Source organism: Homo sapiens, chromosome 3 (genome assembly GCF_000001405.40).
Source record: "Homo sapiens chromosome 3, GRCh38.p14 Primary Assembly".
NCBI classification, from domain to species: Eukaryota; Metazoa; Chordata; class Mammalia; order Primates; family Hominidae; genus Homo; species Homo sapiens.
The window spans coordinates 143,774,294-143,795,590 of NC_000003.12; the positions used below are offsets into that span (position 1 = coordinate 143,774,294).

The 21,297-nt window shown below is 37.4% G+C and overlaps 1 protein-coding gene across 4 annotated transcripts in view; it reads right to left on the reverse strand.

Annotated features, from left to right (window-relative positions):
- SLC9A9 (solute carrier family 9 member A9) overlaps window positions 1-21,297 on the reverse strand; it is a 583,247-nt gene that overhangs the window by 509,072 nt on the left and 52,878 nt on the right. For all 4 annotated transcript variants that reach the window (XM_017006203.2, NM_173653.4, XM_017006202.3 and 1 more), the window contains one exon: window positions 20,708-20,784. In XM_017006203.2, coding sequence (XP_016861692.1) covers window positions 20,708-20,784 — 77 coding nt within the window. The remainder of the gene's footprint in view (window positions 1-20,707; window positions 20,785-21,297) is intronic.

A 21,297-nucleotide genomic window follows, 5' to 3' on the forward strand; every position in this document is an offset into this window, starting at 1 on the left:
TGGGCCCAGTGATATATTTTATTTTTGAAGTTGAGTCAGGGCTTTCCAGGAGTTTGATTTATTATTATGCTACCTAACTTCATACCGGCACTGAGTACTGTTTAGGGACACAGGTTGAAGCCAGACGGCTTGGGTTCAAATCCCAGCTCTTCCCATTTGCCATGTGATGTTTGGGATGGCACTTACTCCTTCTGGGCTTCAGTCTCCTCATAGGTAAATTAAAGGCAACAACACTGCCCACTTCTTAGGGTGCGTGTGAGGACTGACTGGATTTGTATATGCAGAGTGCTTAGAGCATAAGACAGAGTAGCCTGGAAGTGTTAGCTCTTACGTTATTATGTGTATCATATACTATAACTTATAACAAGGAAAAAAGTAAGATGATGTTGGAGAATCAAAAGTTGAACTATACATTGTAATATCTTTCAATTCTAAAAAGTTTTATATTATACATATATTCATTGGCCTATTTGGAACCTTTCAAATTGACCTGGCACTATCTCTACAAGCCCACACCACAGCTGGGTGAAAATGACCCAGTGCGCTCCCCTGCCCCTTTGGGACCCTGTCTGCTTCGCCTCAACTGCTCGGTTGCCTCCTCCGTTCATTTTCTCCTCAGCTTTTCTGGCTTCTCTAATCCCACAGTAGTGCTCCACCACGAACCTTTGTCTTCACCTGGCATAGGAATAGGTAGCCTGGAGTTGGATTTCCCAATCCCACTGCTGATTTTTGTAATGGACTCCAGGTCTCAAGCCTAACACTAGAGAGAACCGTACCTGCTGAGATCAGTTAGATTAGAACCCCCTCTCTAAGGGGATCAAAAACCACATACTTAAAGCCTGAATATGCAAGTATCAGTAGACCAAAGATAGAATTTTAGCCCTGGGAAAACCTTAAATTAACAGAAAATGAAGAGGAAAAGGATTAGACTGAAATCAGAATTGATGAGATTAAATGAACCAATGCTTATATAGTGTTTGGCACTTAGTAGGTATTCAGTAATTAATACCTTACCTGGGACACTGGAGAACTGAATAATAAATAGTTTACTTCTTTCATGCCTCATTACTCATTTATTATCTCCAGGAAAAATTAAGAGGTTACATTAGTTAATACCTAAGTCAACTCTGTCTGGAGAAATTGTCATGTACTTTCCCTTAGATTGAAGTTTGATTATACATAAAGCCATATAGCCCTGACATGAGAAACAACAGTCTTACTGAGTCAGTTTAACTGTTAAAATTGTGATTTATAAATTTTCCCACCAGAGGGCATAATATCAAAGCCAATGGCTGCTGAGCTGCAGCTGGTGTACCGTGTACCATTTACCGGGTATAATTGTTTCATTCTGTTGATTTTGGAACGGAACTTTAGCTTCCTAGGTGGTGACACTTGCCCCCTCCTGTTTAACATCCATTTTAATATAATCCACACTTCATTCTTCACATGTTTAGGGTGTGCTTGACTCTGAAATCCGCAAATAATTTTACCAAAATGGCTTTTCACATCTGCTTATTGGAACAGACCTTTTTTTAAAGTTCCAACTTTTCTTTCCAATAGGCAAAGAGATTTTAACTTTGAAACAATCTTGAAATTTAAACTTACAATAACACACCGTGGTGCCTTTAAGCACCGTTAAAATCTAGCTTCAACTCTACGTGGGTGTTAGTGGTTAAAAAGCACTGGGATAATTTTACCAATTTGTTCTGTGCTATGAATCTGGCTTATATGCAAATCCTTGGGACATTGAAGAAATGTACGTGTTCTTATCTTTATCATGTTCTAAATAAAATATATTACCCTCAAAATTTAAAAGTATATATTTATATCTAAAATACCACAATTTTCTGGCCTAATTTATGATTGTTTTCTACTTTCTCCAAATATGTGTTTATTTAAAATATTGGCAGTTTGGCAAGATTTTAATACATATAATAGCAAACTATGTACTATTCCTACTCTGAGAAAGGAATAGATAGAAAGGTCATTATTAACAGTACTCTTAAACTTTGGGCCAACGATAGAATTTTTCCTTCATCTATTCAAATCAAATCTTATTAAGGGCATTTACCCCCAGTACTGTGATGTTCTTGTTAGTGATTTAATGGACTGATACAGTGGAGTTATAAACTAGTGAGAAAATATTAAATCTAAAGAGCAAAGCAGGTTATGAAAACAAACTCTAATGCACTATAAAATCAACACTTTCATTCTGAGAAATATAATTTGTGATATTCTTTCCTCCTTTTTTTGAAAGTGAGAGAGTGGGCAATATGCCATTCAAAATAAAAGCTATTTTTATAACTGTATAGAGAAGGATTTTTATAAATTGTCTAATTGGAGAAAATGACTAAAATTGAAATTAATAAAATGAAAAAGACTCAAATATGATTAGATATTAATTTAAAAATCAAGGAAACTCTATAAAGGCAGGTTATTTTACTAGAACAGAATCTTTTCAACCATAAGTAATGTTCTAAAGCAATATTTTATTTCCCCTTTGACATGAATGTATTTCACATATAATCATGGTTGGAATATTGTTTTGATGGAGGAGAATGTATTCCTACATATAGTTATTTTTAAAAGATTATAAATTGTGAACACTTCCTATCACAACAATTTCATGAATTCAATTAGGGGAATGGTACAATATATTCTCAATATAAAAATTATCTTTTGTGGGGGCAAATAACTTACATTTGGGAGCTGAGTATCTATCTGACGAAAGATATGTTAATTTGGATCTTAGGGAGAACAAATAGGGTCACTAAAGGGCATTTTGTGGCCTCTTCTCTGACCCCATTCTCTCTCAGAAATACCAGTCTGGTGTTGGAGTACCCATCACAGAGATTATGAATGAAACCCCGTTTTACTGGGCTCTTCCTGAAAAATAGCCATTTTTATTTAAAACTGGACAATCAGAGTTACTCGAAGATCAGCTGCCTCAAATAAACTTAGTCCACATGGAAAGCTTAAGACAGGAGGAATGGAGGTAAACCAAATTCTAAGTATCAAACTCTCTCTTCTGCCTGACTCCAGTAAAATAAAATTTTGATCAAAGTTTATCTGAGTCAGAATCCTTTTATGAAAAACTCCCTTCTAGAGAAAAAAATGCCATTCCTTAAAAATGTTTAAGTAGTTTTCTGATTAACTTGCATAGAATTAAGATTTGTTCTGAGAAACTATTTTCTAGTGAACTATTTATCTACCTAGTGATCTATCTAGTGAACTTCAAACTTTTTAAAGCTATAACATAAAAATGATTTTCTAACTATTCTTTTTTCTAAATGAAATGCACCTACCATGAGAAAATCTTTGAATTGGCCTCCCTCAGCACTGTTTCTCAAACTCTCTGTGGTGAAGAGGCATTAATTAGTTTATTAATTAGTATTATTACTTCCAAACTATTGTCACTGATACTTTTTTTTTTTTTTTTGAGGCAGAGTCTCGCTCTGTCACCCAGGCTGGAGTGCAGTGGTGTGATCTCTGCTCACTGCAACCTCAGCCTCCCGGGTTCAAGCAATTCTCCTGTCTTAGCCTCCTAAATACCTGGGATTACAGGCACATGCCACCACACCTGGCTAATTTTTGTATTTTTAGTAGAGACGGGGTTTCACCATGTTGGTCAGGCTGGTCTTGAACTTCTGACCTCATGATCCACCCGCCTTGGCCTCCCAAACTGCTGGGATTACAGGCATGAGCCACCACGCCCGGCCCGTCACTGATACTTTTATAAAATGCAAAAAAAAAAAAAAAGATGCTGAATCAATGGCACTTTTTCATTACAGGATATAAATCCAAATCTTTTATTATTAAATTTAACAGACACTGAATGATTTCAATCACTGTGTATGTTTTTAAATGCTTATTCTCAGGTTTTGTACTTATTCCTCCCAATCTGGGAGCACCGAGCTCACAGATCAGCACTGGTCTACAGACAACACTATCAGTAAGATTGTACTAATGGCCTTTTTCCCTTTATGGCAAGACTGTAACAAAACTTTGATGTATGCTCCTAACTAAATTGTCTGAAGTGTATTAACACTACTCAAAATATGCTTCAACTATCTAAATAGCTATTAACTACTCAAGATTTAACTGAAGTCCCATTTAGTTTTTGGAATTTTAAAACAAATATCGCACAGCAATTTCACTATGGCGAATACTGGAATTCTTTAATACAGGGGCAATGAAAGCAAAGACGGTTTTCAGAACTGTGTATCAGTGCCTAAGTACATCCCTTGTAATCTCATACAACTAGAAGGCAAGGAGGAAGAAAAAAAAGGAGGGTTAGAAATCATCTGGAAACCATGTAAAAAAATATCTTTATAAGTAGCTGTATTTTCCTAATCAGATATATAGAAAATTAGTTAAATTTAGAAGGAAAAAGAGAAAAACCTTCGGGGAGATTTATGTACCTTTTTTTCCAAGAGGAAAACCAATTTCCTTACAAAAAGTTATTCATTGGAAGTAACCAAGCTAAACTGCACACCAATAGAAGTAATAGATCAGTTGAGTCTAAGAAAAGATTAGAGACCCAGCTCCTGAAAAGTATAATTTGGGCTGCAATTGAGTGAGTTAATGCTGGTTGACTTGCATGCTCTGTGTATGTAATTTTCTCTAGAGATTACCCACATTCAATTCTCCAAACTTCTGTGAACAGAGTGCTATTACCAATGTTAGATTCTTTCAATGACATGAATTTATACCTCTAGTGTCCTAAACAATTTCACTGGATTTATAATAATTTCTGGATCTTGCTCCGGGATGTCTTATGGGGAAGCTTTGTATCCCAGCTGGATTAATGGGCAATTGAAATAATCTATGTTTAAAAATTCATATATTATACTGTTATTATTTATCACATCTATCATAAGTCTCAAACTTTACTGTTGTTTTGAATGATTAATAGGACAGTCAGTTTCAAGGGAGGGTAGGCCTCTTAACTAAGTATGAAAAGCATTTGCAGAGATCTAAGAATTAGAATAAATGATATTCTTTTCCATTTGACAAACATTAACTAATAGTATTTGAAAAAGTAATTTAACTTCTTTAATCCTCAGTTTTTTGGGTTTTTTGTTTGTTTGTTTTTTGAGATGGAGTTTTGTTTTGTTGCCCAGGCTGGCGTGAAGTGGCACAATCTCGGCTCACTGCAACCTCCTCCTCCTGGGTTCAAGCAATCCTCCTGCCTCAGCCTCTGGAGTAGCTGGGATTACAAGTATGCACCACATGCCTCGCCAATTTTTGTATTTTTAGTACAGTCGGGGTTTCACCATGTTGGCCAGGCTGCTCTTGAACTTCTGACCTCAGGTGATCCATCCACTTCGGCCTCCCAAAGTGCTGGGATTACAAGTGTGAGCCACCACACTCGGCCTAATCCTCAGTTTTAAAATGCATAAAGTATGATAATTCCTGCCCCTGCCTATCCCACATAGTTGTGAAATGCAAATATGGTGAGCTATGTGAAAACACATTGTGAAGAGGGCAAAGAACTATGAAACTATTATATTTTGCCCATATTTCTAACATTAGAGTAGACGTCCTATGTATGCAGTAAGGTCTTGAAGTGAAATTATTTTCTAAAGCATGTGCCATCCACAATAAACACTCACATTCTTGCAAATGAGTCTCCATTTACTTTGTACTTTTGAGGATAATGTTTACCTTTTCCTACACTCTCGATTTCTCTGTGCTGGGATAATGCTGTAATTGTATTTAACCCTGTGGAGCTCAGTGGATAACCTGTAAAATAATCAGGTTATTGATTTCTGTAGAAGCCTTAAGTTTGTAACCTAGAATAGATACCTTTTTGCTGCAAATTAAAAGTAACACCTTCACAATCATGTAAGCAATTTATCTACATATGTTGGAAGACAGATATTTGCCTGGATAGGGAAGAGCCCAGTGAAGGGATGCCAAATTATAAAAAATCAATAGGAAAAACTAGACACATAAGTAGACCTGAAACAAATAGCATGTAAGACCAGATAGCCCAATTAGTAAAAGGTGATGACGTGGTGGTTAGTATTTGGAGGGAAGAAGACGTTGGCACATTACATGCAACCAAAAAAATAATGAAGATATTATGATCATAACCATGGAGAAAATTAGCTTCAGAAATAGAATTATTGAATCACTGTCAATTGGGGATTGATGATACAAAAGGATCACTCATTAAAAGTTTTTACGCAATCATTGATTTGTTTATAATGTAGTTTGGACACCAAAAGAGGAAAAACAAACCTCAAGAGGGCTAATATTCATTCTGCAAAATGGAAGATATAAGGCTAAACATGGGGAGTTAAGAAAGCATTGTCCTCATAACACATATTCTAAGGGATTGGAAAGGGAGCCACCATATGATGCTAATCAGAGGGAAAGTTTCCCAATGGCTGTCTAGTGTCTGCCTTCTACAGTGTTGGGGATGACTGGTCAACCAAGATGCTGCCACGAAAACTGGCCAAGTGGACAGAGTCCTAGATTCAGAGAGGGACTGAGAATCTTCAATTTTCATCCAGTGTTGGAGCAATAGGGTCATAGGAAATATCTGGTATATACTATTTGCTGTCAAAGAAAGAAATTGTGTACAAAATTTATAACATAAATATTCTTTTTTAAATTAACATACTTTATATTTTTTAGTTGTTTTAGGCTTACAGAAAAATTAAGCAGAAAGTACTCAAAATACATCCCCCTGCCTGAAATTAAGAAGAAAGTATTGAAAATATGTCCCCATATACTCTCTCACCCCATTTCCTCTATTATTAACATCTTGCATTAATTAGTGTGGTACATGTGTTACAATTTATAAGCCAATATTGGTACATTATTACTAATTAAAGGCCATAGTTTACATTAGGGTTCACTATTTGCATTGCACATTCTATGTGGACACTCTTGCTTAAGAATGCTAAGTTTCTAATGTAAATTAACAAAATATTCTATAAGAGTCTATTCTAGTAATAAAAATACCCATAAAAATGCCTTGCTAACCTCTTTAATATTCTAACGAAAAGTTGGGAATTGTTTCAATAAAAGTAAATTGGGGAAATTTAAATCTTTAAATGAGGAGTTAGGGGAGTAAATGAACTCAACGCATGTAAAGGGCCCAGTAGTGGCTGGCACAAAGTAAAGGCACAATAAATACAGGCAATTGTTATTATTGTAGTCAATATTTCTCATACGTTGTAGAACTTATTTGAGGAGGTAATATAATACCCATGACAAGCTGAAGAAAAGATTGAGTAAGCTACTTCACAAACTGCTGCAACAGAGGTTCCAAGAAAAATCCAGTAAAATGAGAACAAATTCACATAGGTGTTGAAATCACGCTTACATTTTTAGAGGAAACACATGCAACCCCAGGGCAAATAGTCAAGAATTAGATGAAAATAAAGATTGTAGGAACCTATATAATCTAGCAGCAATGGCCTTCAAGATTACAATTGTTCATCAATGTTAACGCAATGAGGTCATCATTCATGTTCATGATTCTGTTGATAATGTAGCTTGCCTTTTGGAAACTTTCTTTACAGCTACCTCTCATGGAGTAGGAATGAGTAAGTAAGGGTGAAATAGAGCAATAAAGCATCGCAGAGCTGTAGTTAAGATTGACTTCTATTCCTTTTATTGGGGCCATTTCATGTTAATGACATTAGAGTGTAATTGCTAAATCAGGTTGAACACCTCCCACACTGGAAGCGCTAAAATCCTTAGACCAGAACACTGGACATTTCTCACTGTGATGGTTCTAAGTGCTTAACAGTATTCTACCAATTATCTTCTTTATGATTCACATACAACATTTGACCCAGATATGTGCACAGACACAGCCATATAAATCTTGTGGATATGAATTATACAATTAATTCATTTGGTTTAGTTTCATTGACACCTGGATAATATGGATTAAATGCTGGTTAAAATTATCTTGATTCCTATAGTCTGTCTGTACTAAATCCTAAGTAAGGTATTAAATCTCTCTACTAGGTTGGGAGTGCAGGATAGCAAATTTCAGTGTGCTTAGGAATTACCTAAGGCTCTTGTTAATATGCAGATAAAGATTCAGGAGCTCTGGGGTGAGGCTTGAAACTCTGCATTTCTAACAGGCTCCTGGTGCCACTGATGCTGTTGGTCCAAGGGCGCAATTTAAATTGCAAGAGTAAGTTTAGCTTACAAGTTCTGGAGTCAGTCACACTTTGGAAAAGTTGCCTAAGCAATTTCAGCCTCAGCCTTCTCACTTACAAAAAGGGCACAATAAGAATTATCTCTCTCTACTATTTATTGTGAAGATTAAGTGAGATAATGAATGCTGAATGGTCAGTTTAAGGCCAAGCACACCAAAAAAATGCACCTAAAGAGCTAGCTCTTGTTGTCACTTTTGTTATTTCTACTATCTCTTCGTCAGTGAAAGGATATGCATTTTACAAATCTTTTTATGAACTCATTGATTCATTTGGCAATTAAAAGTTATTGATTAAAAGCAAAGAAATGATAACTAAGAGGCTAAGCCTAGCAGGGAACATACAAAAGGATGGAAAGAAATAGTACATGAGGCCCAAATTGTGATATATTTGACAATCAAAGCCAAAATGAACTTATGGCTGAAGCTAGAAAATTGATAGTTGCCCATGATGGCCTTAATTGCTCTAAATCTGATCCAAAGCCATATTCTGTCAGTTCCATCATTCAAACCGCTCTCAGATCCAACCGAGTAGCATCCAGGTTCAAACTTTCATAACCTCCTAACTGTTATCTTGCTTCCTGCCTTGGCTACCTTATATCTATTTTCATCATCTGGTCAGAACGACCGTTAAAAGCGCATATCCTCTGTTTAGCATCCTACAACCTACAGAGTAGGATGCAGGCTACAGGATGCTAAACAGAGGATATGTGCTTTTGAAAGTCCAAACTGCAGAACACAGGTCTCAAGTACTGAGCTGTCATTGCCCTCCATTCCATCTTTATCTCCTACTCCCTCCTACCCATACTCTGGCCTCCTGGAACAACAGGCAACACTGAGGCTCTACCTCGCTGCTGCCCTCCCCCTTGCCTTCCCTCTGCCTGGATTCCTTCTCTCATATCTTTACCTGGTTCCCTCTTTTTGAAATAAACTTAAGGTCTCAGATGAGGAGTCATTTCCCCAGAGGCGTCTCCTGGCCCCCTAAGTGTGGTCTCGCAGTCCTACCCTGGCACAGCACTTACTGACTTACCACTTGATCAATAGGACAATAGGTAAAGTATGGAATATTCACATATTTGTATGTTATCAACCTAAAATGGATTAACTACAGCTAAAACTATAACATGGATGAATGTTATAAAAATCATAAATGGGGAAAAATGAAATGTAACACTATTTTCATAAAGCTCTAAAGCACATCAAAAAACTGTAATAAAATTCAGAATAAGATTTACTTCTGGGGGTGGAAAGGAAAAGAGAATAGAGAAGAGCAAACAATTATGTTTGACAGTTTTGGTAATATTGTAGTTTATAGTTTGCTGAAAGATTCATGAATTTTCATTTTTAAATTACTCTCCAAGGCCCGGGAAAGGTGTAATAAAGGCCATAGGGCATAGCTTCTTAAACTTACCTCTCTTCAACTGTTTTAGAAAAGTAAATAAGATGCCAATATCAAGCTTTCACCATCCCCAAAGCTCTATCCTTTCCCAAAGCACCAGCACCAGCCAGACACACACAGATGCAAACCAGACTTCACACAATTGCCACTGATAAGAAAAATGCAGCCACGGAAGAGATTCCCTCAGCAGAGATGTTGCTGCAATTACAGCTAATATGGCCACACCTCCACATTCTCTGCATCACTAATGGTAAAAAGACCAACTGAAGTGATCAACTTAAATAAAACTTTCCCGTAGTTCCCCATTCCAGCTGAGCAGGGGTCAAGTTTCCGTGAATACCCTTTGCTTTAGTACCATAAAAACTTAGTGAGTCATCCTATCTCCCTTTCTTGTAGGTTTATGTATTTTCCCACACAAATTTTATACCCAGAGAACATTATAAAATAGTTCTAAATATACCACTTAAGTCAAAACGGGAGGCATTCACTATAAACTGGTTCTGGAATGTCAGTATGTCTAATGGAAGAGGCCAGTGAGTTAGCTCTTCTATGGTCAACTTGATACTCTGGCATGTTTCATTTTTGTAGGCAGAGGTTTCACATCAGGTTCCAAGTCTTATTTTCTTTTCTTTCTTAAAAATTTGTAATTTTTTTTTTTTTTTTGAGAATGGGGGTTTTACCATGTTGCCCTGGCTGGTCTCTAACTCCTGGGCTCAAGTGCTCCACCTGCCTCAGCCTCCCGAAGTGCTGGGATTACAGGCATGAATCACCAAACCCAGTCCTGAGTCATATTTTCTAATGCAAGTTCTTACCTTGATATCTCTGAAGATATTTTATAGTCCCTTCTTATGGTAGATTATTTGCAAAGATGGCTACTGTGATGGAATAAATGCTTGTGTCACCCCAAAATTATACTGAAATCCTAACACCCAAGTTGATTGTATTAGGAGGTAGGACCTTTGGGAAGTAATTAGGTTATAAGCCCTCATGAGTGAGATGAGTGCCCTTATAAAAAGGATGCCAGAGAGCTCTCTCATCTTCTTTCCACCATGTGAAGATACACTAGAAATTGTTCATCTGCAATCGTGAAGAGGGCCCTCACCAGAACCTTACCATACCAGCACCCTGATCTAGGACTTCTAGACTCCAGAGCTGTGAGAAATAAATATCTATTGTTTATAAGACGCCAGTCTATGATACTTTGTTATAGCAGCCTGAATTAAGACAGCTACAATAATCCTTCCCCTCCCTGTATGCCTACCCTTTTGCAATGTGACATTATTATACTTCCCAGCAAGAGGTGAAGCCTATTTCCCTATGTATTGAATCTCAGCTGCCCTTGTGATAATTTGACCAATACAAGGCAGTGAGAGCAATGTTGTCTGGCTTCTGAGACTGGACCTCAAGAGGCCTTGCATTTCTGTCCCCACTCTCTTGGAATGCTGACCTGTGAGCACCATATGAAGAAGCCACTAGGGAATGAGAAGCTACATGGATTAAAACCCCACCTGTGCCCCCCAGAACAATCAGCCAACAGTCAGAACCAATCACCAGACAGGTGAGTGGGCCCATCTTAGACCATCCATCCCAGTCAAGGAACTGGATGAATGTGGTCACATGGGTGACCTCAGATGAGAACCACAGAACTGCCCAGCTGAGCCCAGCCTAAATTGTTGAGCCACAGAATTGTGAGCTATTAAAACAACCGTTGTCTTAAGCCCATTATGTTTTGGGGGTAGTTTGTGACATAGAAATAGGTAACTGATATACTCCCCTGATTTTTTTTTACCTCTTATCTGAATGGAGTTGATGTGTGTGAGCGTGTGTGTGTAGAAGCAGAGTCACATTTACTGTAACTTGGTTGGAGCAAAATCCATCAGATTTTGGTCAAATCAAGAAAAAAATGACTATGTCTGAGGGTACTGAAGAATAAAGGTGAGCTGAGTAATTCTAAGACTTGAATTTTTCTTTTTTTTTTTTTTTTTTTTTTTTTTTTTGAGACGGAGTTTCGCTCTGTCGCCCAGGCTGGAGTGCAGTGGCGCGATCTCGACTCACTGCAAGCTCCGCCTCCCGGGTTCACGCCATTCTCCTGCCTCAGCCTCCCATGTAGCTGGGACTACAGGCACGCGCCACCATGCCCGGCTAATTTTTGTATTTTTAGTAGAGACGGGGTTTCACCGTGTTAGCCAGGATGGTCTCGATCTCCTGACCTCGTGATCCGCCCGTCTCGGCCTCCCAAAGTGCTGGGATTACAGGCGTGAGCCACCGCGCCCGGCCAACTTGAATTTTTCATTTAAAAGGAATCCCATATTTGGAATCCTTAGGATAGGTTGTTTAATAAGAAGACTTCTCAGATAAATTCTCCTTCAGAATAGAGTCCTCTTCAATTATTCTTACACATTTTTCTTATGTTATTAGGCATTTTTCTTTTTTACCACAACAATCTTACATATCATTTTTCAACATTTCCTAATTTGGAGTTAGTATTTGTTCCCCTTTTTTATTCCCTCGGGACTTGCTTCATTTTCTCTCCCCTGTGCTGTTATTCTTACTGCAACATCTTCGAGGTTGTGATAGGCAGCTAGATTGGTGAATGATACACGGGCTCACACAGCTCTGACGGCTTCACCTCTTTCACCTCTAAACTACATCTCTGATGATCTCCACAGTCCTCTCCATTCTACCTTTTGTTTCTTTTTCCCAAAACTTCACTCTCCTCTCTGCTGCCAGAAATACAGCCCGTGCATGCTGTGATATGCATATGAGAAACCACACTGCTATGCAGCTTGGGTTGTACTTGACAGATTAGAGATTATTTTTTCTTATTTGGCTGTGTCAGGGCAGCAGTGTATTTATTTTTCTCTTTGACACCAGTGACAGCTATAACTGTGCCCACTCAGAATCCAGAGAGTAAATGAATGCACAGAGGAAGCATGGGGTCTTCCAGCCTAACTCAACACAGCCTCCCTAAGCTCTGCTGTTTTGCAGCTGGCTGAAAACGGAATCACAGAGAGCAGCAGCCCAGACGTAGGCTCCAGGGGCAGTGAAGAAGACATGGTTTGGAAAGAAGGGAAGGGAGAGGGGAGAAACAAGAGAGAAGGTGAAGACAGCTGGGAAAAGAGAATGAAAATATAGTGGCTCTGCAGCTGATAAGAACTGACCAGGAATACTGGCGACATCACTCTTGGCACTTTTTCCTCTCTGCTGCTGCCTGCCAACCCGAGTTGTTCTTATTAAAACACACAGACAAAAACAACAGAAGAATCAGAGTTTCCCAGAAATGGAAGTAAGCAACATAATCAGAGTTTTATAAATCTACTAAATAGCTCCCATCATTTGTTGTCTCTCTTATTTTCTTTTTAATATAATTGATACATGCAAGAGAATATATAGACGATATACACAATTATAAATCATCATAATATTTTGAATACCTAGAAACATACCCCAACCCATGAGCCAGAACATTATCAATCATTTGTCTTTATTTGTTTCTTTTCATTCCATTCTTTTGCCTCTCCCCCAGAAATAATCATACCATTGAATTTTGTTTTAATTCCCCTGCTTACTACATACATGCATATATACCTTTACACCTCCATACATGCTTGCATGCTTAAACAAAATTGTTTTTTCTTGGTCATCTGTGAACATTTTGAAAAGATACCATATTACATGTGATATTACAGGACTTGATTTGTTTATTTTACATTGTTTTTGAAATTTATCCATGTCATCATAGATGACTTTATTTCACTGTTTTTCACTGCTGTGTAATATTATGTTATGTGAATTTATTTGCCTATTCTGTTAATAGAATCTGAGTGTTTCCAAGTTTTTGCTATTGTGAAGTGTTGCTACAAATATCCTTATACATGTCTCCTTAGTGCTCATATGTAAGTGGGTCCGTAAGAAAAATACTTAGAAATAGTTATAAGGTATACAAATACAAATGAATTATATAAGAATATATTTATAAATGTAAATATATATACTCATAAATATATATATTGGAGTAAATTTATATGAAACAGTAAAGAACTACAGTAATAACAGACAAGGTACTCCTGAAGAAGAAGATCCTCTCTGTCTTATCCTACAAGATATACAGACTTATTATGAAGTTAAAATAATTGAAAGTATGGTATTGGTGCAGGGATAGATTATAAACCAATAAAATAAAATTAAAAGTCTAGAAACAGACACCACAATATATTATAGAAGAGGTGGTGTAGATCCGGAGAAAAGGCAGGGCCATACAATAAGTGGTATTAGTGTAATTAGTTATCCATTGGAGGAAAAATAATTAATTGGATGTTAACTTTGTATCATATAAAAAATGAGTTCCAGGAAATGAATTCACTGTAAAGGGCACAACTTTAAAACACTTTAGAAGAGAATGTCTTTCTGACTTTGAGGTAGGGGAGGACTTATTAACAAAATACAAAAATTCCAACCACACAGGAAAATATTTATAAATTTGACAGCATTAAAATCAAGAACTTCTATTCACTAAAAGACATCATGTATGAACTGGGCATGGTGGCTCACGCCTGTAATCCCAGCACTTTGGGAGGCCAAGGTGGGTGGATCACCTGAGGTCAGGAGTTAGAGACCAGCCTGGCCAACATGGTTAAACCCCATCTCTACTAAAACTATGAAATTAGCTGGGTGTAGTGGTACATGCCTGTAAATCCCAGCTACTTGGGAAGCTGAGGCAAGAGAATTGCTTGAACCTGGGAGGTGGAGGTTGCAGTGAGGTGAGATCACGCCATTGCACTCCAGCCTGGGCGACAGAGTGAGACTCCATCAAAAAAAAAAAAAAAAAAAAGACATCATCTCTGATGATGTATACTTCATACATGCATAAGCATGTATGAAGTAAAAGTATAAGAGGCAAACTAAGAAAAAATATTTGCAAAATAAATGAGTATAGATTGTTATGAAGAACATATAAAGAACTCTGCCAAATTAATGAAAATATGACAAGACAACTCAATAGAAAAATGGACAAAAAGCTTGAAAAGGTATCATACAAAAATGTAAACAACTTTATTAACAACCAAGGAAATACCAAAGAAGAAAATAAAATGTTATTTCATACTTACTAGATTGGCAAAAATTAAGAGGGAAAATTGATACCAGTACTTTGGAAAACAATTTGGCATATTTTGAAAAAATAAATTCATTTCTCGACTCTAAAACTCAGCACATCCACTGTTAGGTATAGATACAAGACGGCCACCAAGTCTGGGAACACAGATAGGTACATAATAAGTAGTTTATTGTTATTACCTCACAGTACATGGTAAAATCATAGCATGCATATCTCCATACTTTACGGCCACCCTGAGTGCATCCTAGAGAAACCTTTAGTTCTAGCTAAACAAGGAGATATGTAAAATTCTCACCGTCCTGACTTTCTCTTTGCCCAGGCTCTTGAAAAACATACTAATTCTGTGCTTTTGTGGATTGCAGCTTCCTAGAGAATCTGATGAAATGGGATCAATGCAGACTGTCTCCCATGAAAAATTCTCTGCTTCCCTGAAATCCTTCTATGTACCATCTCAGGGTCACTCTTCCCTGGGTTAGAAACCCTGTTCTAAATCATTCTCTTTCCAGGGTTAGAGCTTAAGGAAGGCACTGAGGTACAGATTGGCCTCCATCTATGAAGGACACATCCTCAGGTTTGGGTTCTAGACAAGTAAATGTGTCCTGTCATCCAGGTTTAGAAGTCAGCATTTTGGGGCTACTGAGACTCACCATATCTATCCTAATTAAGAACAGGTTCCAGAACCTGTTCCAAGGGCACTTAGGTCTCAAGGTCCCCAGTTGAGCAGGCACAGTGGCACACAAGAGGGCAGAGGGAGAGTGTCCACACAGCCCCCTCACTCCTATGCCTCATGGACAGATGGGTAGAGGTGTCAGGCACAGTCCTATGCTGTGTATATTCAAGAAGCCCAATGAGAAATCAATACTTCTCAAGAATGTTTATATGAATAATGTAAACAACCTCATAATATTTATAAATCCATGTTTTCCTGAGTGAGTTACCGAGTCCAGCATTCTAGCTGATATGGTTTGGCTGTGTCCCTACCCCAAATCTCATGTTGAATAGTAATCTGAATTATAATCCCCATATGTTAGGGGAGGGACCTTGTGGGAGGTGATTAGATCATGGGGGTGGTACCCCATGCTGTTCTTATGATAGTGAGTGAGTTCTCATTAGATCTGATAGTTTTATAAGGGGCTCTTCCCTGCTTCGCTCTCATTCTCTCTCTTGCCGCCTTGTGAAGAGGTGCCTTCTGCCATGATTGTAAGTTTCCTGAGGCCTCCCCAGCCATGCGGAACTGTGAGTCAATTAAACCTCTTTTCTTTATAAATTACCCAGTCTCAGGTATTTCTTCACTGCAACATGAGAATGGACTAATACATTAAGCAAGTAAAATGGATTCGTACCATTCCTCCAACCACCTTCAGTAAGAAAAGACAGGTTTGAATTCCTGTTTGCAATTATATTCACAGCCAATTCTGAAATATTTAGATTTTTCATGATTTCTAGCCATAATGATAAATGTAAGAATCTGAAATTATTGAGGTCTTAGTCTGTCAGACAGATATAATTACTGATACATACTGCCCATTTCATGCAATACTGCAGGACACATAAAGTGTCATTTTAGGAGGAGGAGAAGGACAAGGAGATTCTAAGAGCATGTGTTCTAGAGTCAGACTGGCTCTGAGTTTACTACCACTTACTGTATAATCTTGGACAAGTCTAAACTACAGCATCTTCATATGTAAAATAATGATAATAACAGTATTTACCTCATAGGGGTAGTATAAGATAAAATGAGATAATACATGTAAAAAGCATAAGTCAGTGTCTGGCACATGGAAAGAAAATTTTTAAATGAGGTATTCTTAAAATTAATTCTCCATTCCTGATCATTCAATGTCCCTTTCTTTAAATATTTTTGAAACTGTGAAATTTGTTTTAATTCCTCATTAACAGAGAAACTAAGAGCATATAATTTTTGTTGCTCTTAAAAAGAAGCATTTCATAGGTACTAATGAGTTCTTAGAACAAAATGTATGTGCTGACAGTGAGCTTCAGCTAGGTTGTCATTGTGATATATTGGCATGGTGTATAGGGTGGAGACATAGAGTCAAAGATCAAAGAATAGTTCCCCAAGATGGAGGACATGAATACAGAAATATTTCAAACACATGGACTTTTCTTCTTAGAAGGAGATGGATTTAAAATACTACTTCTCAAGTGATAAAATGGGAGAGGGTACTAGAGAAGGTAGGTGAATTCTTTCCGAGCAATCTATCATTGAAATAAAAAAAGGTTTCTTCAACTTTCTTGCCAGAAGGAATATTGTTAAACTTTCCCATGCAATATGAAAAACGGTTTACATCTAATTTCTGAAATCATATGAAACTAATAAAACTTAAAGACCTTGTTCATGCAAATAAACCCAATGATCTCCATTCCTGTAAAGCATCTGAGTCCAGCTAAAACCAATATTGCTTAGCTACAGAAGGTCACAGCCCACCAGTAGAGTTTCATTCATGTTCCACAATCTCTCTCCATGGCCTTCATGTTCTCATACACTTTGGATGCTGGACTTCATGGCCTTTTGTCAGCTGACTCTCTAGCATTTTCATTCCCACATTCTCTGGCACTGCTACATGAAACCTACTCTCCATCCTGGAACTTTGCACAACGTTCCTGGCACCCATCATAACTAATGCACTTAATGGCATGGAAAATCTGACTTCTTTATCCTTCTCCACTAAATGTCTGCCCAGGATCCACTTCCTCTATGAAATTATTCTCAAAGAGTTTGATCTAACTTCTATTCTGAATCTCTCCCCCTGCCCATTTCATGCAAATCTGCGTATATCTGCATAAACTCAGGCCATCCCTTAAAAATGTGAATTCCTTTTGGATGGACTTCCCAAATAAAAATCTCCCATGTCTATGAGAACTCCTACTGGGATAATGAAGAAACGTGGTTATGTTGATGAATATTGATTGATTTATACAATTTCATTTTTTTGGTGCTAATATTCAACAAACAGAAGTAAAGCACGTTTTTGGCATTAATTATTTGACTCCGGAGCCAAACAATTTAGTTACTAATCCCAGCTCTATTACTTACCACTGTGTTACTCTTTTTAAACCTCAGTTGTTTCATCTGTTAAATGAGGGTAATAAATAGTATCTACTTAATAGGATTATTTTGAAGATTAGATGGATAATCCATGCAAAGTGCTTTTAAAAAGGGCATGATACGTATCAAGCACTCCATAAATTGTTGTCCTTGTCACCATTTATTTATAAGAAAAATACAGCCAGTCACTTTCTATAGTTTGATTGTATCTCATATAATGGAAGTTACCAAGTTATGAAAGTGTCAGTTTGATCTGAATTTAAGTATGTGCCCTCTTCTTCAGAAGTTCTGAAATTATATATCAAGACTGGCAGCATAAAAGTAAATTCTTGTTTCTTATTATATGGCTCCCAAAACAATTGGACTTGCCAATACTCTTCCCTCATTTTTGCCCATAAGACAAGTGTAAAGTCACCCATTACCTCCTAGGGGTCAAATCCAGTGGTACCACAATTCCTATCCCATTTGACCTCTCCTGTGTTAGGTTCTGTGGACCCTCCCTTTTCCTCTTCCTTTGACTTCCAGAACACATGCCCTGTTGGTTTTCTTCCTGTTTTGGGGGTCCAATACTCCTTGGTGCCTTGTGAGTGTCTCTTCTCTTTCTTCAAAATAGTGATGTTCCCTAGATCTCTTTCCTTCTCACTTCACTTACTTGCCCTGGGTGATGCCATATTCTCCCAAGATTTCACCAAGCTAATGACTCTACATTTACCTTTTCTGCCACTGCCTGAGTCCAGGCCTTTATCATTTCCAATCTGGCCTACGTAAATTACCTCTTAAATGGTACCCATTTTAAAATTTCTCCTTCACGCAGCTACCAAAATGACCTCCCTAAAGTATGAATCTGACTTTTCATCTTCAAGCTAAAACATTTCAATGATTTCCCTTACCTCACTAGATACGATTCTAAAATGTTTAGGCTATCTTTCCCTTCTGTATTTTAATGACCCAAATTAAGAAAGTAACTACAAATTTTTGTTGCTCAGATACCCAGTTCAAACTAAGAACACCGTTCTAAAATTTTTCTTAGGACTACTCTTTTAGTCAAATGACTTTCCATTATAAGTTGTTGGACAACCAACAATTTAAAATCTGTTTTAAAATAAATCAAAATAGGTTCTCAACCCCAGTAAATGAAAACCACTGGATCTCTTAAATTGAAATGTTTTAGATAAAGGCAATTATATACAACACACACACACACACAGTATATATTGGTGCTTTCTAAAAAAATGATATTGAAAGATCTAAGAAAGAATTTAGATTTTTCATGATAGTGAAAGCATATAATATAAATAAATGCACTTAAATATACTTAAAACCAGTTGTACCAAAGAAATGAGGTAACAATAAAAATTTACTATTCTATAATTTGGCAGCATTGTCCAAGAGTTTAGAATTTGGATCCATTATAAATTTCAAGACCCCATATTATAGAACCACTAAAATAAATCTTTACTACTAACCAAGGAACATTTGTTGTGAGTCCACATGTCTCAGAACCCTCTCTCAATGTGTAGAAACAATGTATAGGGATGTTTATGAATTCAAGAGAAATTGCTAAAGGAAGAGAGGGTGAAGGCCTGCTGGATCAGAAGCAGAAGTTCTGAGTTCTGTTTTGACAACGGCCCTGATTCTCAGAGATGGTAAGATTGAGCCAACTATTTATTCAAGATGTCTCATCTTCGAATGAGAGGCTGTAGTTACACAGATCTCTCAGGCCCCTGCAAAGTTTAGAAATGTGAATATTTAGCTATTGCATACTCACAGAACAGAAAAGCCCTCCTAGAACATGCTTTAAGAAGGATCAAGTACCCTGTGTCTCTCAGGTCACCCACAGTTTAAAGACCATTTAAGTGTCCAAACTTAATGGGGCTCCCTAATCTATAGGCTTGCAAACCTCCCTTTTCAGGTGCTAAAATCTTTAATTTTCTCACTGCCTTAAACCATTCTGAATATTTTTATATAACATGGCCTGACTTGTTCTAGGCTCAACTCAAAAGAAATTTAGCAGTGCATTCAACACAAAATCCCTCTGCTTACAGGCACAAGTAAAGACACCGCCTGACACTTCCTTGGCCTCAATTGACACACACTAGAAACTCTGTAAGAGAATGGGTGGAGGCATGAACCGTGTGTATTTTTAGCATCAGTTTCTTGTGCTGGGTTATAACAGCTGTAGACAGTAAAAATCAAGGATAGAGTTGACTGTATCAGATAATTGAAGACATCTGCATCATCACAGTCATAGTACCTGGACATTTTTTTTTTTTCCTGCAGTGGAGCTTTAATGTATTGGACGGGATTATCAGAGGCTGGATTGCCTTCACCATTTGGTACCACATTTTACTTTATGATGAGCTGCAAGCCAGAGTATATAACGTGTGACTTAGGGCTCAGTAGCATAATCAAGAAAATACAATGAAAAAAAGAGTCTGCATTCTACAGGGTATTAACTGAAAAGCTATCCCTGTATTAAGCAACTCTGTTGATATTTGGACATATCTGTTTCAGACTGCTGTCTTGTAAACTTTCCTTTAGAAAGAAAACTCTTGGCATATAGTTACTTTTGCACTCCTGCCAAATACAGGTAAGGTCTCTCAATACAAGACAAAAAAGAATGCAGTGAGCATATCGGCATTACTCAAACTAAAAGAAGAATGCAATGCGCTTCACATAACTCAAGGCAAGTGATCCACATTCCCTAAGTCAGAAGTCCAGAACTCACAGAGAAAGTCCAGCAATCCTCTAGTTTGCTTTGATTTGAAGCCTTGTATTTGTCAGAAGCCGTGGAATTAAGTCAGAAAAAACATACAAATATGTGATATACTAAAAAAAAGACAATTTTCCCAGCCAGCAAGAATCCTGGAAGTGTTAGATCCCTCACACAGATCACAGACCCCACAGCCACCTGCAACTTGAGCTCCGAATGTCACTTACCCTATGACGATGCAGGAGATGGCAGTTCCCAAGAAGGCATACGTTAAAATAGATCCTAAGTTTTGAAAAAAGTGTCTCTGGGGAGAAAAAAAGATATTTAATAGAGTACATCAGAATTTTTTCTTAGTGCAAAAGAAAATAAAAATAAATGTATGCAGTTCACAGACCCCTCACTGTTTAGGCAAATTTTGGTTTTGGAGCCTCGTTCCTGGCCTTATTGTGCTAATAGGGACTTAACTGATTATCATTGCAAAGGACTGGAGGGAAAAGTCAAGAAGCAGAAAAAAAAAAAAAAAAAAACCCACTGGAAGATGAGTAGGTAGGGATGAGAGAGACAACTCCAAGAACTGGCTGGACCTGAGAGGGAAGCAAGGAACTGGGCAATGTCTATGCCAGAATCGGGGCAATAATGGAAGACACAGTTTTCATGAAGTTTTGTTGTAAATGCAATTCCTTTAGCATTAAAACAACAACAACAACAAAACTATTCTAAGAGATTTACGTTGCCTGTTGATTTTACTGGATGTCTGACTTCTCTTTTATATCTTCTGAATGTGATGAAAATAAACTTTAAAAATCTACAACAGCCT